The sequence below is a fragment of the Homo sapiens genome, chromosome 8 (genome assembly GCF_000001405.40).
Source record: "Homo sapiens chromosome 8, GRCh38.p14 Primary Assembly".
Classification (NCBI taxonomy): Eukaryota; Metazoa; Chordata; class Mammalia; order Primates; family Hominidae; genus Homo; species Homo sapiens.
Window position 1 is genome coordinate 140,628,844 of NC_000008.11, and position 14,519 is coordinate 140,643,362.

Below are 14,519 nucleotides of genomic sequence, written 5' to 3' on the forward strand. Positions count from 1 at the left end.
GGGAGGCTGAGCCACCGTGGATCACCTGAGCTCAGGAGTTCGAGACCAGTCTGGGCAACATGGCAAAATCCCATGTCTACTAAAAATACAAAAAAAAAATTTGGGTATATAGTGGCACATGCCAGTAGTCCCAGCTACTCAGGAGGCTGAGGCACAAGAATCACTTGAACCTGGGAGGCGGAGGTTGCAGTGGGTCGACATTGCGCCACTGCCCTCCAGACTGGGCAACAGAGAGAGACTCTGTCTCAAAATAAATAAATAAATAAATAAATTTTTAAAAATTCTAAAAACTAATAATAAACGCGCGACTCTGGGGCCACGGACTTTTTTGACAGATCAAACAGGAAGAGAAACACTGCACGAAACAGTAGGGGCCAGGCTCTGCCAGCCAATGTGTGACCTCGGCTCCGGCTGTCACTGCAGGCCTCCAGCACCTTCTCTTCTGTCCTGGGTCACTGTATGAAGACTAAGGATTCGTGGGGAATGTGCTGCTTCCCTTCAGCGCAGGCGCCCGTGCCCGGGGCCAGGTGGGAAGGCAGAAAAGTCACTGTATGGGGGAAGTAAGGTTGGAGAGGATGCTAGTCATCCAGGCCAAAGTCCCCACTTAACAGGCGAGAAAACTGAGACCACACGAGGAGATGCGGACGGGGCTGCAGTTCTGACCAGACTCCTGTCTGTCCATCTCGATGACAGTGAGAAGATGAAAAAGGAGGGGGCCGGGCGCAGTGGCTCACACTTGTAACCCCAGCACTTTGGGAGGCTGCGGCAGGTGGGTCACTTGAATCCAGGAGCTCCAGAACAGCCCGGGCAACACAGGGAAACCCCGTCTCTCCACAAACTTAGCTAGGCACGGTGGTCCACAGCTGCAGTCTACCTGGGAGGCTGCCCAAAAGGGCTGAGGTGGAGCTCCGGAGCCCGGGGAGGTTGAGGCTGCAGTGAGCCATGACTGTGCCACTGCACTCCAGCCTGGGCCATGAGAGTGAGACCCTGTCAAAAAAAGAAAAGAAAAGAGGAGAGGGGAGGGGAGGGGAGCAGGGGGAAGAGGAGGGGAGGGGAGGGGAGCGGAGGCGAGGGGAGGGGAGCGGAGGGGAGAGGAGAGGAGAGAGGTGGGGCTTCCAGTTCCTGATCCAACCCACACAGCCCGGTTCCTGGCAGACCCAGGGAGGCCTGGCCCACCTCCCACACCCTGCTTCTCCCAGCTCACAACGGGGACACGCGTCAGCACCCTTTGGAAAGAACTACTGGCAACCTCAATGACACCACACTCACGCCCATCAGATTTTCTGAGGATTTCAGGAAGTGCAGTGCCATCAGGGGTGAACCAAGTTTAAAATGTTCCAGCCTGTTCATCTTTAAGCTACACACAAGCCCCAGATTTTAAAAACGCATTGAATCTGAGAGGCCGCCCGTCCACCCTGCTTTGCACGGACAGTTCTTGTGTCTGCCTTTCGTACCAGGGAAAGCTTACAGGTGCCCACTGCCCTGGAGGAAGCTCCCAGCACAAATGCTAAGTGTCTCCTCACCCTGGGTGCAGCTCTATGGAGACAGAAACTGGGAGGGCCTGGCGATTTGGTCACAACGTGTAAAGGACCAAGAACAAAGAGTGGTTTCAAGTTCCTAAACTTTTGGAGGAAAAAATTAGAATAGTGGCTACAGCGAACAAGTGCAGGCCCCTGACCGCAGCAGCAGGCTTGGGGCTCTCAATGTGTGGCGTGGGCCAGCAGATCCCCAGTGAGGAGGAGAGAGCAACCACAGGCAGCACAGAGCTGGCCACAAACGATAAGGGCAGAGATATGTGAAAGAGGGAGCCATTCCCAACCCAACACTGGGGAGAAAAGAATCCCTCTTATTTGAAATAACTGTAAGAGATAAACTGCACAAGAGCCTCCAGTTATCTTCCGTATTTGCCATAGGTCATACAGTGTCGCTTCTGCTGAAAGAGGACCACAAAAAGGATTCTGCTGCAACTGAAAACTCAAGATGCAAAGGGACCTGCCCCAACACTCTGCGTAACAGCCTGGGCAACATGTCAGGACTCCATCTCTAAAAAAGTAAAACACCTTCGCTGGGCATGGTGGCACATGTCTGCAGTCTCAGCTACTAGGGAGGCTGAGGTGGGAGGGCGGCTTGTGCCCAGGAGTTTGAGGCCGCAGTGAGCCATGACTGTGTAACTGCACTCCAGCTTGGGCAACAGAGAACAACCCCAACCCTCAGAAACAAACAAAACAAAACACCACTTAAATGTGTCAGAATTAAAACCATGAGCAACTGGGTCTCCAAACAGCCCCCCTCAACAAAACGGAGCCCAAAAAACAAAAATTTTGAGCAATGGGGCTCTTTCTAAAACCATTAAAGAAAAAACGGAGGGGGAGGGGAGGCACGAATGCTCTGAAGAAAAGAGATTTTAAAAGACGTAGGCCGGGCGTGGTGGCTCACGCCTATAATCCCAGCACTTTGGGAGGCCGAGGCAGGTAGATCACCTGAGGTTGGGAGTTTGAGACCAGCTTGGCCAACATGGTGAAACCCCATCTCTACCAAAAATACGAAAATTAGCCGGACATGGTGGCTTAGTCCCAGCTCCTCAGGAGGCTGAGGCAGGAGAATCGCTTGAACCCGGGAGGAGGAGGAGGTTGCAGTGAGCCAAGATGGTACCACTGCACTTCAGCCTGGGTGACAGAGCGAGACTCCGTCTCAAAAAAAAAAAAAAGAAAAAAAAGAAGACGTAAATATAACAAGTCAAATGCAGGGAGAAGAGAGAGGGTGGGCTAGCTTTAGAGGCGGAAGGCAGAGACCCAAATGTGTGTGTGAACTTTGGTTAAAATTCAGGATCCAAAGCACCCAACTGGAAACACACTTCTGAGAATATGAGAGAAATTGATCACAGACTGTTAACTGTCATAACGGCACTGGGGTATGTTCAAAACGTCTCCATTGCTTTAGACACGCATATTTAAATATCGAGGTAAAATGACAGGTCTGCAATTCACTTTGGAAAACGTCCACAAAGAAAAGGGGCATATTTGAAGCAAATGTGGAGAACCCTGATGACTGCTAAAGCTTCCTAATGGATAAATGGAGGGGTATTAAATGAGTCACTCTACTTTTATGTCTTTTCAATTATTTCACAATATTAACTATTTTTAAAACTCAAATGTTATGTTTTGAAGATTCACAGTAACGATTCGTGAAACAAAACCACATTTTATGAGACTGGACCATTACAGGAGAGCATTCACTGTACAACACACAGAGAATAAGCCCAACTGGCATTGTGGAAACTTTTGACATGGAAACTAGAAGTTAAAAAATAATTCTGCTTCTTCAAATTGCACAGGGTTTAGGAGTTTGGAAGCGTTTACATCTTTTTTTCCTATGCACTTACTTAAATTATTCCCCAAGGTTTATCAAAGACCCAAGGGGGACTCTGCACAAATACCCAGCCATGCCGCGATGGCCTCGGCCATGTCAACTGCCCCACGGGTAGAGGGTGATATCCTGCCATGGCAGATGGGCACCAGTATTGGGAGAAGTGGCCATACCTTCATGGGGACCACTGAGGGAAGGGGGAGAGGGGGCAGGAGGAGTTAAATGGCTCTATAAACCACAGTGAAGTTCAGCTCTTCTCAAAGTCACAATCCTATTTAGACAACTGTCAAGTCTTAGATGTCACAGAGGTTACTTTGTGGCAAATCTGCGAGGGGTGTAACACACGGGAGCTTGAAAGTGTAGCAAAACCATAAGAGACAATATCCTGGGGGCAGGCAATCACTAGACACAGATCAAGACCTTTAAATGGTTAAAAAACCAAAAAACTAATTTGTTCATCAGTGAAGGTTCAAGGTCATTGGAGAATCCACCCATCTTAAACAACTAACTCAGTTCAAAAAACGAAAAAATAGTAACATTTCTAACTTCAGATTCTAAATAGCATTCACATACGTCACAGCATTTGTTTGTGATTGGTATAATGTAGAGCTATTGTGAACTGCTTTTTAAATTAGTAAGTTGCCTAATAAGGGTGTTACAATTGGAAGTAGCAAAACTATTTGTAATTTTTCTTTTCTTTTTTTTTTTTTTCTTGAGATGGAGTCTCCAAGTCTCACTCTGTCCCCAGGCTGGAGTGCAGTGGCGCAATCTTGGCTCACTGCAACCTCTGCCTCAAGGGTTCAAGCGATTCTCCTGCCTCAGCCTCCCGAGTAGCTGGGACTACAGGCGTGCACCACCACGCCCAGCTAATTTTTGTATTTTTAGTAGAGACGGGGTTTCATGATGTTGGCCAGGATGGTCTCGATCTCTTGACCTCGTGATCCGCCCGCCTTGGCCTCCCAATGTAATTTTTCTATAATTCAAATTGAATGTCTTATAATTCTAAATTAGAAAGTATAAGATTAAAAAGAGTCTCAATGAAGACTATTCCAAAAATTCCTTTTACACAAAATTAAAAGCCTTAATGTGTAGCATAAAATGGAACTGCACCACAGACTTATAATTACAGCACGTTTGTACAACCTGAAACTTGGGTTCATTCCCATCCTGCCATTAGCTATGAATTATCCTGCAGACACATTTATTCTTTCAACCACTGTCCTGTTCCAGAGGGTCCACTCCCTACCAGGCCCACACCAAGGCAACAATCTCCAAAAAGCAGCGAGTGACAGAAACGAGCCTGTGGATCATGAGGGCCAAGGTACGCTGAAAAATGAAATCGACAAGACAGCATCCCGGGGCAGTGCACACAGTACAGCAGTGAGCTGGGGTGGCTTCCTGAAGCCCCGCTGTCAATGACAAGTATGCGGGCAGGTGCTGGTCCAGTCCAGCCCTAACAGAGACTTCTTACTGTGGGTCTGGGTTATAGGGCTTGAAAGGGACTGCCCTGAGGAAGGCACCCAGAGAACCAGCTCGGAAGTCGGACCGATTGTCCTGATACTCACTCACTGCTGTGTGACCTTGGTGAAGTTCTCAACCTCTGTGAGCCTCGGCTGTCTGTCTTCACAAACACCACCAACCTCAGCAAGTGGAGTGAATTAAGTAACACGCAAAACACAACACAGAAAGCTTGACCTTCCTTAAAGCCTCTTCACTTTTTCTGGGCCTCCAACTTTTAAAACCGATAACCTGAAAAAATGTAGTGCTGTCAGTCCCATAAGCTGGGTTCCTCTACAAAGAGGAGCTGGAAGGTCCCAACTCACAAGGGGATGCCCGGTCCTTTCCCAAGAGGGGGCCTGGCCACCCAAGGCCTCTAGAGGCCAGCACCTGCTCCAGGACTGCGGCCCCTCCCAGGTGGAGGGGGAAAATCATTCTTCAAACTGCTGATGGCCCTCAGGGGTTGAAAAGTTGGTCAGACTCCGCCTTGTTGAAGCTTTCTAAATGACATCAGAAAAAAGACGCGACATTCGCAAGGCACAGAGCCAACAGCTCCAGCAGTGGGGGCCACCATCAACGGACCAAGGTGGGCCAGGGGGCCTTCCGGACCCCACAATTTGGGGCCGGTCTGCAGCAACGAGGGCAGCATCGGGAATGCGAGCCTCCTCGCCCGGCCGGGTAAACATAAGCCCAGAGCCCGGCGGGGCCTGCGCCGCCTGCGGCCCGGCTGGGGCCCAGCGGACAAAGGGGAGCAGGCGGTGCCCCGTCCCAGCGGCCAGGCCGGCCGAGAGAGCCAGGAGCCACGTGCCCGGTGGGAGCACGCCAAAAGCAGGAGAACACCTGACCGTTTTTTTGGCCCACCAAGGAGACCGCCTTCTACTCTGCATTTAAAAAGAAAAACAACGCGTTACCGCTTTAAGTTTTTTAGAACTTTTCCAGAGAAAGGCCGACTAGCAACAAGGGGTGCTACAGGAATCCACCTCGCCTCACCTCTCCTAGGAAATTGTAAAAGGAATTAGCACTTGAATGGGGAGGCCGGCGTGTCTGGAATGAGAACGAGCCGCGCACGCAGTTTGAGGGTTCCGGGGAGCCGCGTCCTCCCCTTTCCAGGCGACAGCCCTAACTACAGGAATTGGCCAAAATTCAGCATTTCCAGACTTTCCTTGGGAAAAGGGGCCGAAGAAGTGCCGGCAACAAGAAGGGCCACAACGGAGCGCGCCACAGACTCACCGCGGCTGGGGTCGGGACCGGCGCAGCCCCCTCCCCTCCCGCCCGTGCGCGCCCCGAGCCGGGCGCCCCGACCCGGCCTCCACCCGCTCAGGCGCTCAGGGTCAGGCCGGGCCGGGCTGCGGCGCCCCCATCCCCGCCCGGGCAGCGAGGCCGGGCCAAGCGGGGCGCTCCGGGCCTCGGGCCTACACGCGGCGGCCGCCTCGGCCCCGGCCCCAGCCCGCGGGCCCCGGGCGGGGGATGCGAGGACGCTGGGACGCGGGCCCGAGGCGCGGGAGGGGCCCAGGCCGCGCGGGGCGCCCCGACGACTCGCGGGGGCCGAGGAGGCCGGGGCTGCGCGTCCAACGCGGGGCCGAGAAAACGGCCGGCTCGGCCCCGCCGCCGCCGCTCCTCGAGCCCCCAAGCGCGGCCCCGGCTCGCCCGCCCCCGGCCCCCGCCGCCCCGACCCCGCGGCCCCCCGATCCCCGGCCCCTGCCGCCCGCGCCGGGCCCGCCAACCACGGGCAGGAGCGCGCGAACGGCCGGGCGGGCGCCCCGAGCGCCAGGACTCACCGGGGCCGGCTCCCGAGTACATGGTGGCGCCGCCGAGGGGCTCCGGGGCCGAGGGGCGGCCGCGCGCGCGCCACGGGCCCCGACGCCGCGAGCCGCGAGGGAGCCGCCGGCCGCACGATCCGCCCCGGCGCGGCCGCCTCGCCAAACAGGTTTACCCGACGCGGCCGGGGCGGCGGGCGGAGGCGGCGGCGGGAGCGGGAGCGGGAGGGGCGGGGGAGGAAGGAGGAGGGAGGGGGAGGGGAGGCGAGGCCGGCGGCGGGAGCGCGCTCGCGGGGGGAGCGGGGCTGGGCGCGCGGGCGGGGTCCGCGGCGGCGGCGGCGGCGGCGCCGGGTCTGGCGGGGCCTGGGGCGGGGACCCGGGGAGGGGCCCGGAGACCTCGCCGGGCGGTGGGAACCGCGGGCGGGAGCGGGGACGAGGGCCGAGGGCGGCGCGGCCCGTGTGGCGCGGGGGCGGGCGCGGCCCCGGGGACCCTTCACTGCCACCCAGAGAAGCCGCGTCTTCCCGACGGGGAGGAGCCGGGCCCCCCGGCTGTGCCGCCGGAGCCGGAGGGGAGGCCACGCGCCCCCGCTTTCCCCGCCGCCCCCCGGTGGGGGGCGCAGAACCCTCCCACCCTCAGCCCCTCGGCCCCCAGCCTGGCTCTTTAAGTTACTACAGAAACACGGAGGTCGGGAAGCTCCCTCCCAGCCCGGAGCTTGAACTTGAACGCGGCCGGCCGCTCGCGCAGGACCACACCGCCACCTCCCGGCGCGGCCCCAGAACCCAGATAATCCGTTTAAAGCACTGAGAAAATCTAAGAAGTTTTTAGTAAACTGTAGCTGGTATCAGGGATCAGATCAGCGGACACGCCCATTCCAGCAGTCAGGGGCCTGCTCGGACCGTCGTGCACCTCCGAGCGTTTCTGTCCGGTCCCTCTGGGTCCGTCTGGTTTTCGGAGGCTTTCCTGGAAAAGCCAGCCTGTGGCTACCTCCTTTCTCCCCTAAGTGATGGAGGATTAGAAGGCAGAGGTTGACCCACAATCTAAAGTGCCTGGTCGCCTTTTCCCAGATTTCCCGGAGCATTCCTTCACCCCGTGGCATCGGCTGTCTGCATATGGGTGCAAGGCCCTGTTCCGGGCGGAGAATAAACAGGAGTTCTGACTGACAGGAGCTCCGCAGCCAGCAGGGTGGTCACTAGTTCTCTGCAGTCTCGGAGGACAGCCCTGAAGAAGGGCAGGAGAACCAGCACTTCCTCCGAAAACTCAAAAGGACATCAGTCTTCACCAAGTTGCCGATACAAAACGTGCTCCTGAAATGTGTAGTAATGAACACCAGGAAACCTGGGTAGGAGTGTGCATGGCATTCTTCATCACCGCTTGGACTGCATGGCACTGAATACCCACGGAGAGCAGGATGGAGAAACAGTGTGCTCATATTCACAGGATGGAATCTAGCCATTCACAAAAATTCCAAAACAGGCAAAATTAAACTGCATTCTTTAGGGAAGCATCATTAAGTAGTAAATAATTGACAGAAGGGCAAGAAGGTGCTTACTCTAAGTGTCAGAATGGTGGATACAGCTGGGGGTGAGAGGGCTGTGACCACAGCAGGGCCCCTGGGGGATTTGGGGGTGCCAGGCCTGTTCCTTCCTGCAATGGTGCCCTTTGGCAGCCATCCCTTAAACTGCACTTTTACTTTATATGCTTTTCTGTACCTTTACTGTAGTATTTCACGGAAATTTTTAAATAATCATGAATGTTACCACTTTCCTATTTATGAACCATGCAACCTCATCAATCTTCCCAGTTCGCAGATGCCCACCCTCTCTCTCTGCCCCTGTCTCCTTCACATATCCCCAAAACTCGTTTTGGCCCGAAATCCCTGAGGCCCAACTGCCCTGCTGTCAGCGACTGCACGCCTCAGCAAAGGCCCAGAAGGCTCTGTCATCACTGGCTGCCCTCAGCCCGCCTTCAGCTCCTTTGAGCGCTGTGTTGGGGAACTTTGTTGCAAGGATTTCGTTCCAGAAGGCAAGATAATGTCTCTGAGGGCTTCATTGTGTCACTTCTCTTTGGATGGCGGACACCGTGGCCCTCTGCTGGCGGAGGGGTGCCATTGCTGCCTGCCCCATCTCTATCCCCAGGGCCCATGCAGTCACTGGGTTCGCCCTCTGGGGCACGGGGTTCCCTCTGCTCTTTTCCTAGATAAGCCCATTCTCTGCAGGTCTCTACCCTCCACACCTGTGTTCAGGAATTCAGCCCGCTTCCTGCAGCCCCATCCCTACCCTCCTCCCAACCTGCTTTTCTTCTGGTGTCCCTCACTCAGCATGGCTAACAGATCCACCACCCAACGGAGCTGAGAACTGCAGTCCCCTCTGCCTGTTACCTCTCCTGCCATTAGTGAACCTGCTTAACTCATCTGACTGTGCGTCTCGGTGCTTGCTGTGACATGTCTCCAGCCCTTGCTGCTCTGTCCCCCAGACCCACGTCCCACACCCGGATGGTGACTCAGCCGACTCTGGGTCTTCTGGACCCAGTGCTTCTCCCTGATACAATTCCTTCCTCTGTGTTTTAGGATCCTGATGCTTTGATAAGACCGTGGGCTCTAATCACAGCCAGGGACATTTGCAGCAGCCTGGCCTGCAGCTCTGCACACTGGGTGCACTCAGTCTAAAGCACCAGCTCCCCATGAGAGAGAAAGAAGGGGTGAGGGGAAGTACAGAGAAAGCTCCTGAGGCCACAGGGCTGACAAAGCCCTCGGCTTTGGGGGCACTTTGTTTCTTCAAGACTAAAATGCAGGCAATGGAATAAATCATTTGTTCCTAAAACATGTTCTGCACATGATTAAAGCAGCTTTGGGAAGTCAAGTAAATTGGGAAGCACTGGATCAAACAATGATAAATAAGTTTATTGTCTGCAGGCCTTCTCAGAGCCTGTAGCAAGGTGAGAAGAATCATGCTTCTACAAAGAGGAAGGAGGGCATGAGACAGTATGCAACCTGTCCCAAACCCATTTAGCCACAGAACCCTTTTTTCACGAGGTACCTCAAGGTTCCGTGGAGCATAATTTAGGAAACACAGAGGTAGAGGTCTTCTATGATCCCTTCCAGCTCTAATAGTCTATGATTCTTTGAGTAATATATACTTTGAGACAGGATCACCAAAGTGAAAGTGTAGTGGCGAAAACACAGCTCATTGCAGCCTTGACTTCCCAGGCTCAAGTGATCCTCCCACCTCAGCCTCCTGAGCAGCTGGGACCACAGGTGCATGCCACCATGCCTGGCTAATTTTTAAAAACTTTTGTAGAGACAGGTCTCACTGTGTTGCTCAGGTTGGTCTTGAACTGCTTGGCCCAAGTGATCCTCCCACCTTGGCCTCCTCAAAGTGCTGGGATTACAGGCATGAGCCACTACACCTGACCTTATTTTTTTTGTTTTTGTATTTTTCTAGACAGGGTCTCACTCTATTGCCCATGCTGGAGTGCAGTGGTGCAATCATAGCTCACTGCAGCCTCCTGGACTTAAATAATCCTCCTACCTCAGCCTCCCAAGTTACTAGGACTACAAGAGTATCCCACCAGGCTCAGCTAATCTTTGTAGAGATGATGTTTCACCATATTGTCCAGGCTGGTTTCAAATTCCTGGGCTCAAGTGATCCACCAGCCTCAGCCCCCAAAGTGCTGGGACTACAAGTGTGAGACACTATGCCCAGACTGGTTTTTTGTTTTGTTTTGTTTTTTAATTAAAAACTAAGCAGGTGGCTCACGCCTGTAATCCTAGCACTTTGGGAGGCCAAGGCAGGTGGATCACGAGGTCAGGAGATAGAGACCATCCTGGCTAACACGGTGAAACCCTGTCTCTACTAAAAATACAAAAAATTAGCTGGTTGTGGTGGCACGCGCCTGTAGTCCCAGCTACTCGGGAGGCTGAGGCAGGAGAATCACTTGAACCTGGGAGGCGGAGGTCGCAGTGAGCCGAGATTGTGCCACTGCACTCCAACCTGGAGGACAGAGCGAAACTCCATCTGAAAAAAAAAAAAAACTAAGCAGGCCATATGCAGTGGTTTGTGCCCAAAGTCTCAGTGCTTTGGGAGGTCAAGGTGAGAGGATTGCTTGAGGCCACGAGTTCCAGACCAGCCTGGGGACCCCATCGCTACAAAATAAAAAAAAATTAGCTGAACATGGTGGCACACATCTGTAGTCCCAGCTACTCAGGAGACTGAGGTGGGAGGATTGCTTGAGCCCAGGAGGTCGAGGCTGCAGTGAGCTATAACTGTGCCACTGCATTCCAGCCTGGGTGACAGAGTGAGACCCTGTTTCAGAAACAAAACAAAAACAGGCCATGATAACCTCTTTAAAATCTGCCAGTGCCATCCTCCACTGGGTCTGCCAGCTGGGCCCCCTTTGCAGGATAGGGTGGAGGGGCCTGGATGTGGTGTTCCCTTGACTGGTGAGCGTGTCTGAATACAGGCCACACCTTCTGCTTCTTCAGGTAACCATCTCTAGACAAGAGGTACTTCATTTTGGCCCTCTGTTTCCTCTCAAGTTGCCATTTTTTTTTAATTTTTAATTTTAAGACAGTGCCTTGCTCTGTCTCCTAGGCTGGAGAGCAGTGGTGCCATCTCGGCTCATTGCAGCCTTCGCCTCCTGGGTTCGAGTGATTCTCCTGCCTCAGCCTCCCCAGCAGCTGGGATTACAGGCGCATGCCACCACACCCGGCTAATTTTTTGTATTTTTAGTAGAGATGGGGTTTCATCATGTTGGCCAGGCTTGTCTTGAGCTCCTGACCTCAAGTGATCTGTCTGCCTTGGCCTCCCGAAGTGCTGGGATTACAGGCGTGAGCCACCATGCACAGCCAAACTGCATTCTTTTTGTTTGTTTTATTATTTTTTTTCTTTTCAAACTGTATTTTTTTCAGGCAGGCATTGATCTCTGCTTTTTAGTCTGGCACACTTACTTACAGCCCCCTAAATTTAACTCTGAATCTAGTTCCTCTTCAAAGGATGGTGTCTCACCTATGAGGTGTGGGTGCCCTTGCCTTCCTTTGCCCCAGCCTGAGGACAGCTGGTGTTTCTTTTTTTTTTGAGATGGAGTCTCGCTCTGTTGCACAGGCTAGAGTGCCAGTGGTGCAATCCCAGCTCACTGCAACCTCCACCTCCCGGGTTCAAGCGATTCTCCTACCTCAGCCTCCTGAGTAGCTAGGAGTACTGGCATGCGCCACCATGCCCAGCTAATTTTTTGTATTTGTAGTAGAGACGGGGTTTCACCATATTGGCCAGGCTGGTCTCGAACTCCTGACCTTGTGATCCGCCCGCCTTGGCCTCCCAAAGTGCTAGGATTACAGGCGTGAGCCACCACGCCTGGCCCAGCTGGTGTTCCTAAGCATGATGTGAAGACCACCCAGAGCACATGAGAGATGCTGCCACAAATTGTTTAAGGTCAAGAGTTACAAATTCATCCCAATGCATCTTCTACAAAGTCCTTGGGAGATTTGTGTGGATGTGGTGTATCCAGCTTGTAGCATTTTCTGGAGTTAAAAGAGATAAATAAAAGCTATCTTTCACTAAAGATGGTGGCTTACACCTGTAATCCCAGCACTTTGGGAGGCTGAGGTGGGCAGGTGTCTTGAGCACAGTTTGAGATCAGTGTGGGCAACAGAGTGGGACCCTATCTCTACAAAAAATACAAAAATTAGTGGGACATGATTGTGTGCTTGTAGTCCCAGCTACTCAGGAGGCTAAGGTAGGAGATCACCTAAGCCCTCAGGGAGGCTGAGGATGCAGTGAGCTGTGATTGTACCACTGCGCTCTAGTCTGGGTGATAGAGCAAGACGCTGTCTCAAAACACACACACACACACACACACACACACACACACACACACAAAACAGCAACCTATCTTTCATAGGAGGAGAAACATTAAGTAAAAATTGTCAAAGAAGCCAAGTATATAATGATGTAAACAAGTGTCAATTTTTAGCTTTCCACAATGACTCCTTTATACTATCATTCTTACCTAGTATCATGTTTCTTTGAAATAATATACTGATACATTGTTTAGCAAAGATTTTGGCTGTAAGACCAATATTTTAAAATTAACCATAATTCTATATACTAATGACAATTAAAAATAAAAATTTATTTATTTTTGAGACAGATTCTCACTCTGTCACCTGGGCTGGAGTGCAGTGGCATGATCTTGGCTCACTGCAACCTCCGCCTCCCGGGTTTGAGCAATTCTCGTGCCTCAGCCCCCCGAGTAGCTGGGATTGCAGGCGTGCACAACCACGCCTGGCTAATTTTTGTATTTTTAGTAGAGACGGGGTTTTGCCATGATGGCCAGGCTGGCCTCAGATGATCCACCCACCTTGGCCTTCCAAAGTGCCGGGCTTACAGGCATGAGCCATCAGGCCTGGCCTAAAAGTAAAATTTAAATAGAATGAGGCTGGGCACAGTGGCACATACCTATAGTCTCAGCTAATTGGGAGGCTGAGGCAAGAGGATGGCTTGAGCCTGGGCAGTCAAGGCAGCAGTGAACTGTGATCACGCCACTGTACGTCAGCCTGGTCAACAGAGACCGTCTCAAAAAGACTAAAAAAAAGAAAAAGGAAAAAAAAAGAAAGGAAAAAAGAAAAGTTGAAAACAGAAGAACAAATGAAAATAAAGATGTACAAAACCTCTGCACAGAAATCTGTGAAACATGACTGAGAATTTCACAATGGAGGGAGACAGCATACTCACGGATTGGGACGCTGGGGAGACAGGGAGCGGCACGGCACTGACATCGTGCTTTGTGTTTGTGTTCCGCCAACACTAGCCTAAGGAAGGTAGATGCCCCGCTTCTCTGAAGAGGCAGCGGGTGGAGTGTGCAGCTCTGGAACCCAGTCCTGGATACCCTGTGAGCCCACTGAGATGGGTGTGGCCTCCTTATTGGGAACATGGCTGATTGTGACCAACAATGAGAGCACATATGTTCCGTTCCTGATGAGGGCCTGGTTCCTTAGTGGATACTCTGTACATAACATCCCAACACTCTCCTAAGTTCCTCTGTTTCAAGAGCCTGCATTTCCCTGCGGCATTGCACATGGAAGAGGGCCATCAGAATTGAGAAGCATGGGGATACAGTCTAATCACATAACAGGACAATTTCAGGCAGTGGGTGGGAGAAGTCACTGTTTCAAACTTTTTGCCATCATCTAAGTGTGTGTTTCCCCCCACAAAATGCATATGTTGAAATCTTAACATGAAAGGTGATGGTATTAGGTGAGGCCCTTAGGAGGTGCTTATTTCATGAGGATGGAACCCTCTCAATTGGGATTAACACCCTTATAAAAGAAGCCCTGTTAGTGGATCACTTGAGCTCAGGAGTTTGAGGCCAGCCTGGCCAACATGGCAAGACTCCATCTCTACAAAAAATACAAAAATTAGCCAGGCATGGTGGCACACAACTATACTCCCAGCTACTTGGGAGGCTGAGGTGGGAGAATCGCTTGAGCCTAGGAGATGGAAGTTGCAGTGAGCTGAAATCATGCCATTGCACCCCAGCATGGGTGACAGAGCAAGACCCTTTCTCAAAAAAGAAATATAAACACATAAAATAAAAGAGGCCTTGTTTGGCTGGTGCAGTGGCTGGGACCTGTAATCCCAGCTACTCAAGAGGCCAAGGCAGGAGAATTGCTTGAGAATAGGAGTTTGAAACCAGCATGGGCAACAATGCGAGACTCCCTCTTTTTTTTTTTTTTTTTTTTTTTTTAGACATAATCTCCCTGTTACCCAGACTGGAGTGCAGTGGTGTGATCTCAGCAGCTCACTGCAGCCTCTGCCTCCTGGGTTCAAGCAAGTCTCATGTCTCAGCCTCCTGAGTAGCTGAGTGCACCACCACACCTGGCTAATTTTTGTATTTTTAGTAGA

The 14,519-nt window shown here is 52.4% G+C and overlaps 1 protein-coding gene and 1 long non-coding RNA gene across 5 annotated transcripts in view, besides 6 other annotated features; one reads left to right on the forward strand and one right to left on the reverse strand.

Moving 5' to 3' along the window:
- The window catches only part of AGO2 (argonaute RISC catalytic component 2), a 122,158-nt gene extending 108,688 nt beyond the window's left edge, over nt 1-13,470 (reverse strand). For 3 of the 4 annotated variants that reach the window (NM_001164623.3, NM_012154.5, XM_047421697.1), the window contains exon 1: nt 6,642-6,790. In NM_001164623.3, coding sequence (NP_001158095.1) covers nt 6,642-6,663 — 22 coding nt within the window. In that variant the 5' untranslated portion in view covers nt 6,664-6,790. Of the gene's footprint in view, nt 1-6,641; nt 6,791-13,349 lie in introns of those variants that run through there. The other variant, XM_011516968.3, reaches the window with a different exon arrangement.
- Nucleotides 1,695-2,195: an enhancer, noted in NCBI's record as "H3K4me1 hESC enhancer chr8:141640637-141641137 (GRCh37/hg19 assembly coordinates)". NCBI's record gives its function as "activates a minimal SCP1, AML or CMV promoter by ChIP-STARR-seq in primed H9 embryonic stem cells {active_cell/tissue: H9 hESC(primed)}" and the evidence as "EXISTENCE:reporter gene assay evidence [ECO:0000049][PMID:30033119]".
- Nucleotides 4,261-5,028: an enhancer, noted in NCBI's record as "H3K27ac-H3K4me1 hESC enhancer chr8:141643203-141643970 (GRCh37/hg19 assembly coordinates)". NCBI's record gives its function as "activates a minimal SCP1, AML or CMV promoter by ChIP-STARR-seq in naive H9 embryonic stem cells {active_cell/tissue: H9 hESC(naive)}" and the evidence as "EXISTENCE:reporter gene assay evidence [ECO:0000049][PMID:30033119]".
- Nucleotides 5,029-5,795: an enhancer, noted in NCBI's record as "H3K27ac-H3K4me1 hESC enhancer chr8:141643971-141644737 (GRCh37/hg19 assembly coordinates)". NCBI's record gives its function as "activates a minimal SCP1, AML or CMV promoter by ChIP-STARR-seq in naive H9 embryonic stem cells {active_cell/tissue: H9 hESC(naive)}" and the evidence as "EXISTENCE:reporter gene assay evidence [ECO:0000049][PMID:30033119]".
- ERICD (E2F1-regulated inhibitor of cell death) lies at nt 5,392-9,440 on the forward strand. Its single transcript, NR_170171.1, has one exon. It is a non-coding gene; the product is annotated as an E2F1-regulated inhibitor of cell death (long non-coding RNA).
- Nucleotides 5,602-5,651: a silencer, noted in NCBI's record as "silent region_19581". NCBI's record gives its function as "represses an Ori minimal core promoter by ATAC-STARR-seq in GM12878 lymphoblastoid cells {active_cell/tissue: GM12878}" and the evidence as "EXISTENCE:reporter gene assay evidence [ECO:0000049][PMID:35858748]".
- Nucleotides 6,135-6,304: a silencer, noted in NCBI's record as "silent region_19582". NCBI's record gives its function as "represses an Ori minimal core promoter by ATAC-STARR-seq in GM12878 lymphoblastoid cells {active_cell/tissue: GM12878}" and the evidence as "EXISTENCE:reporter gene assay evidence [ECO:0000049][PMID:35858748]".
- Nucleotides 6,955-7,354: a silencer, noted in NCBI's record as "silent region_19583". NCBI's record gives its function as "represses an Ori minimal core promoter by ATAC-STARR-seq in GM12878 lymphoblastoid cells {active_cell/tissue: GM12878}" and the evidence as "EXISTENCE:reporter gene assay evidence [ECO:0000049][PMID:35858748]".
- Nucleotides 13,471-14,519: the final 1,049 nt, after the last annotated feature.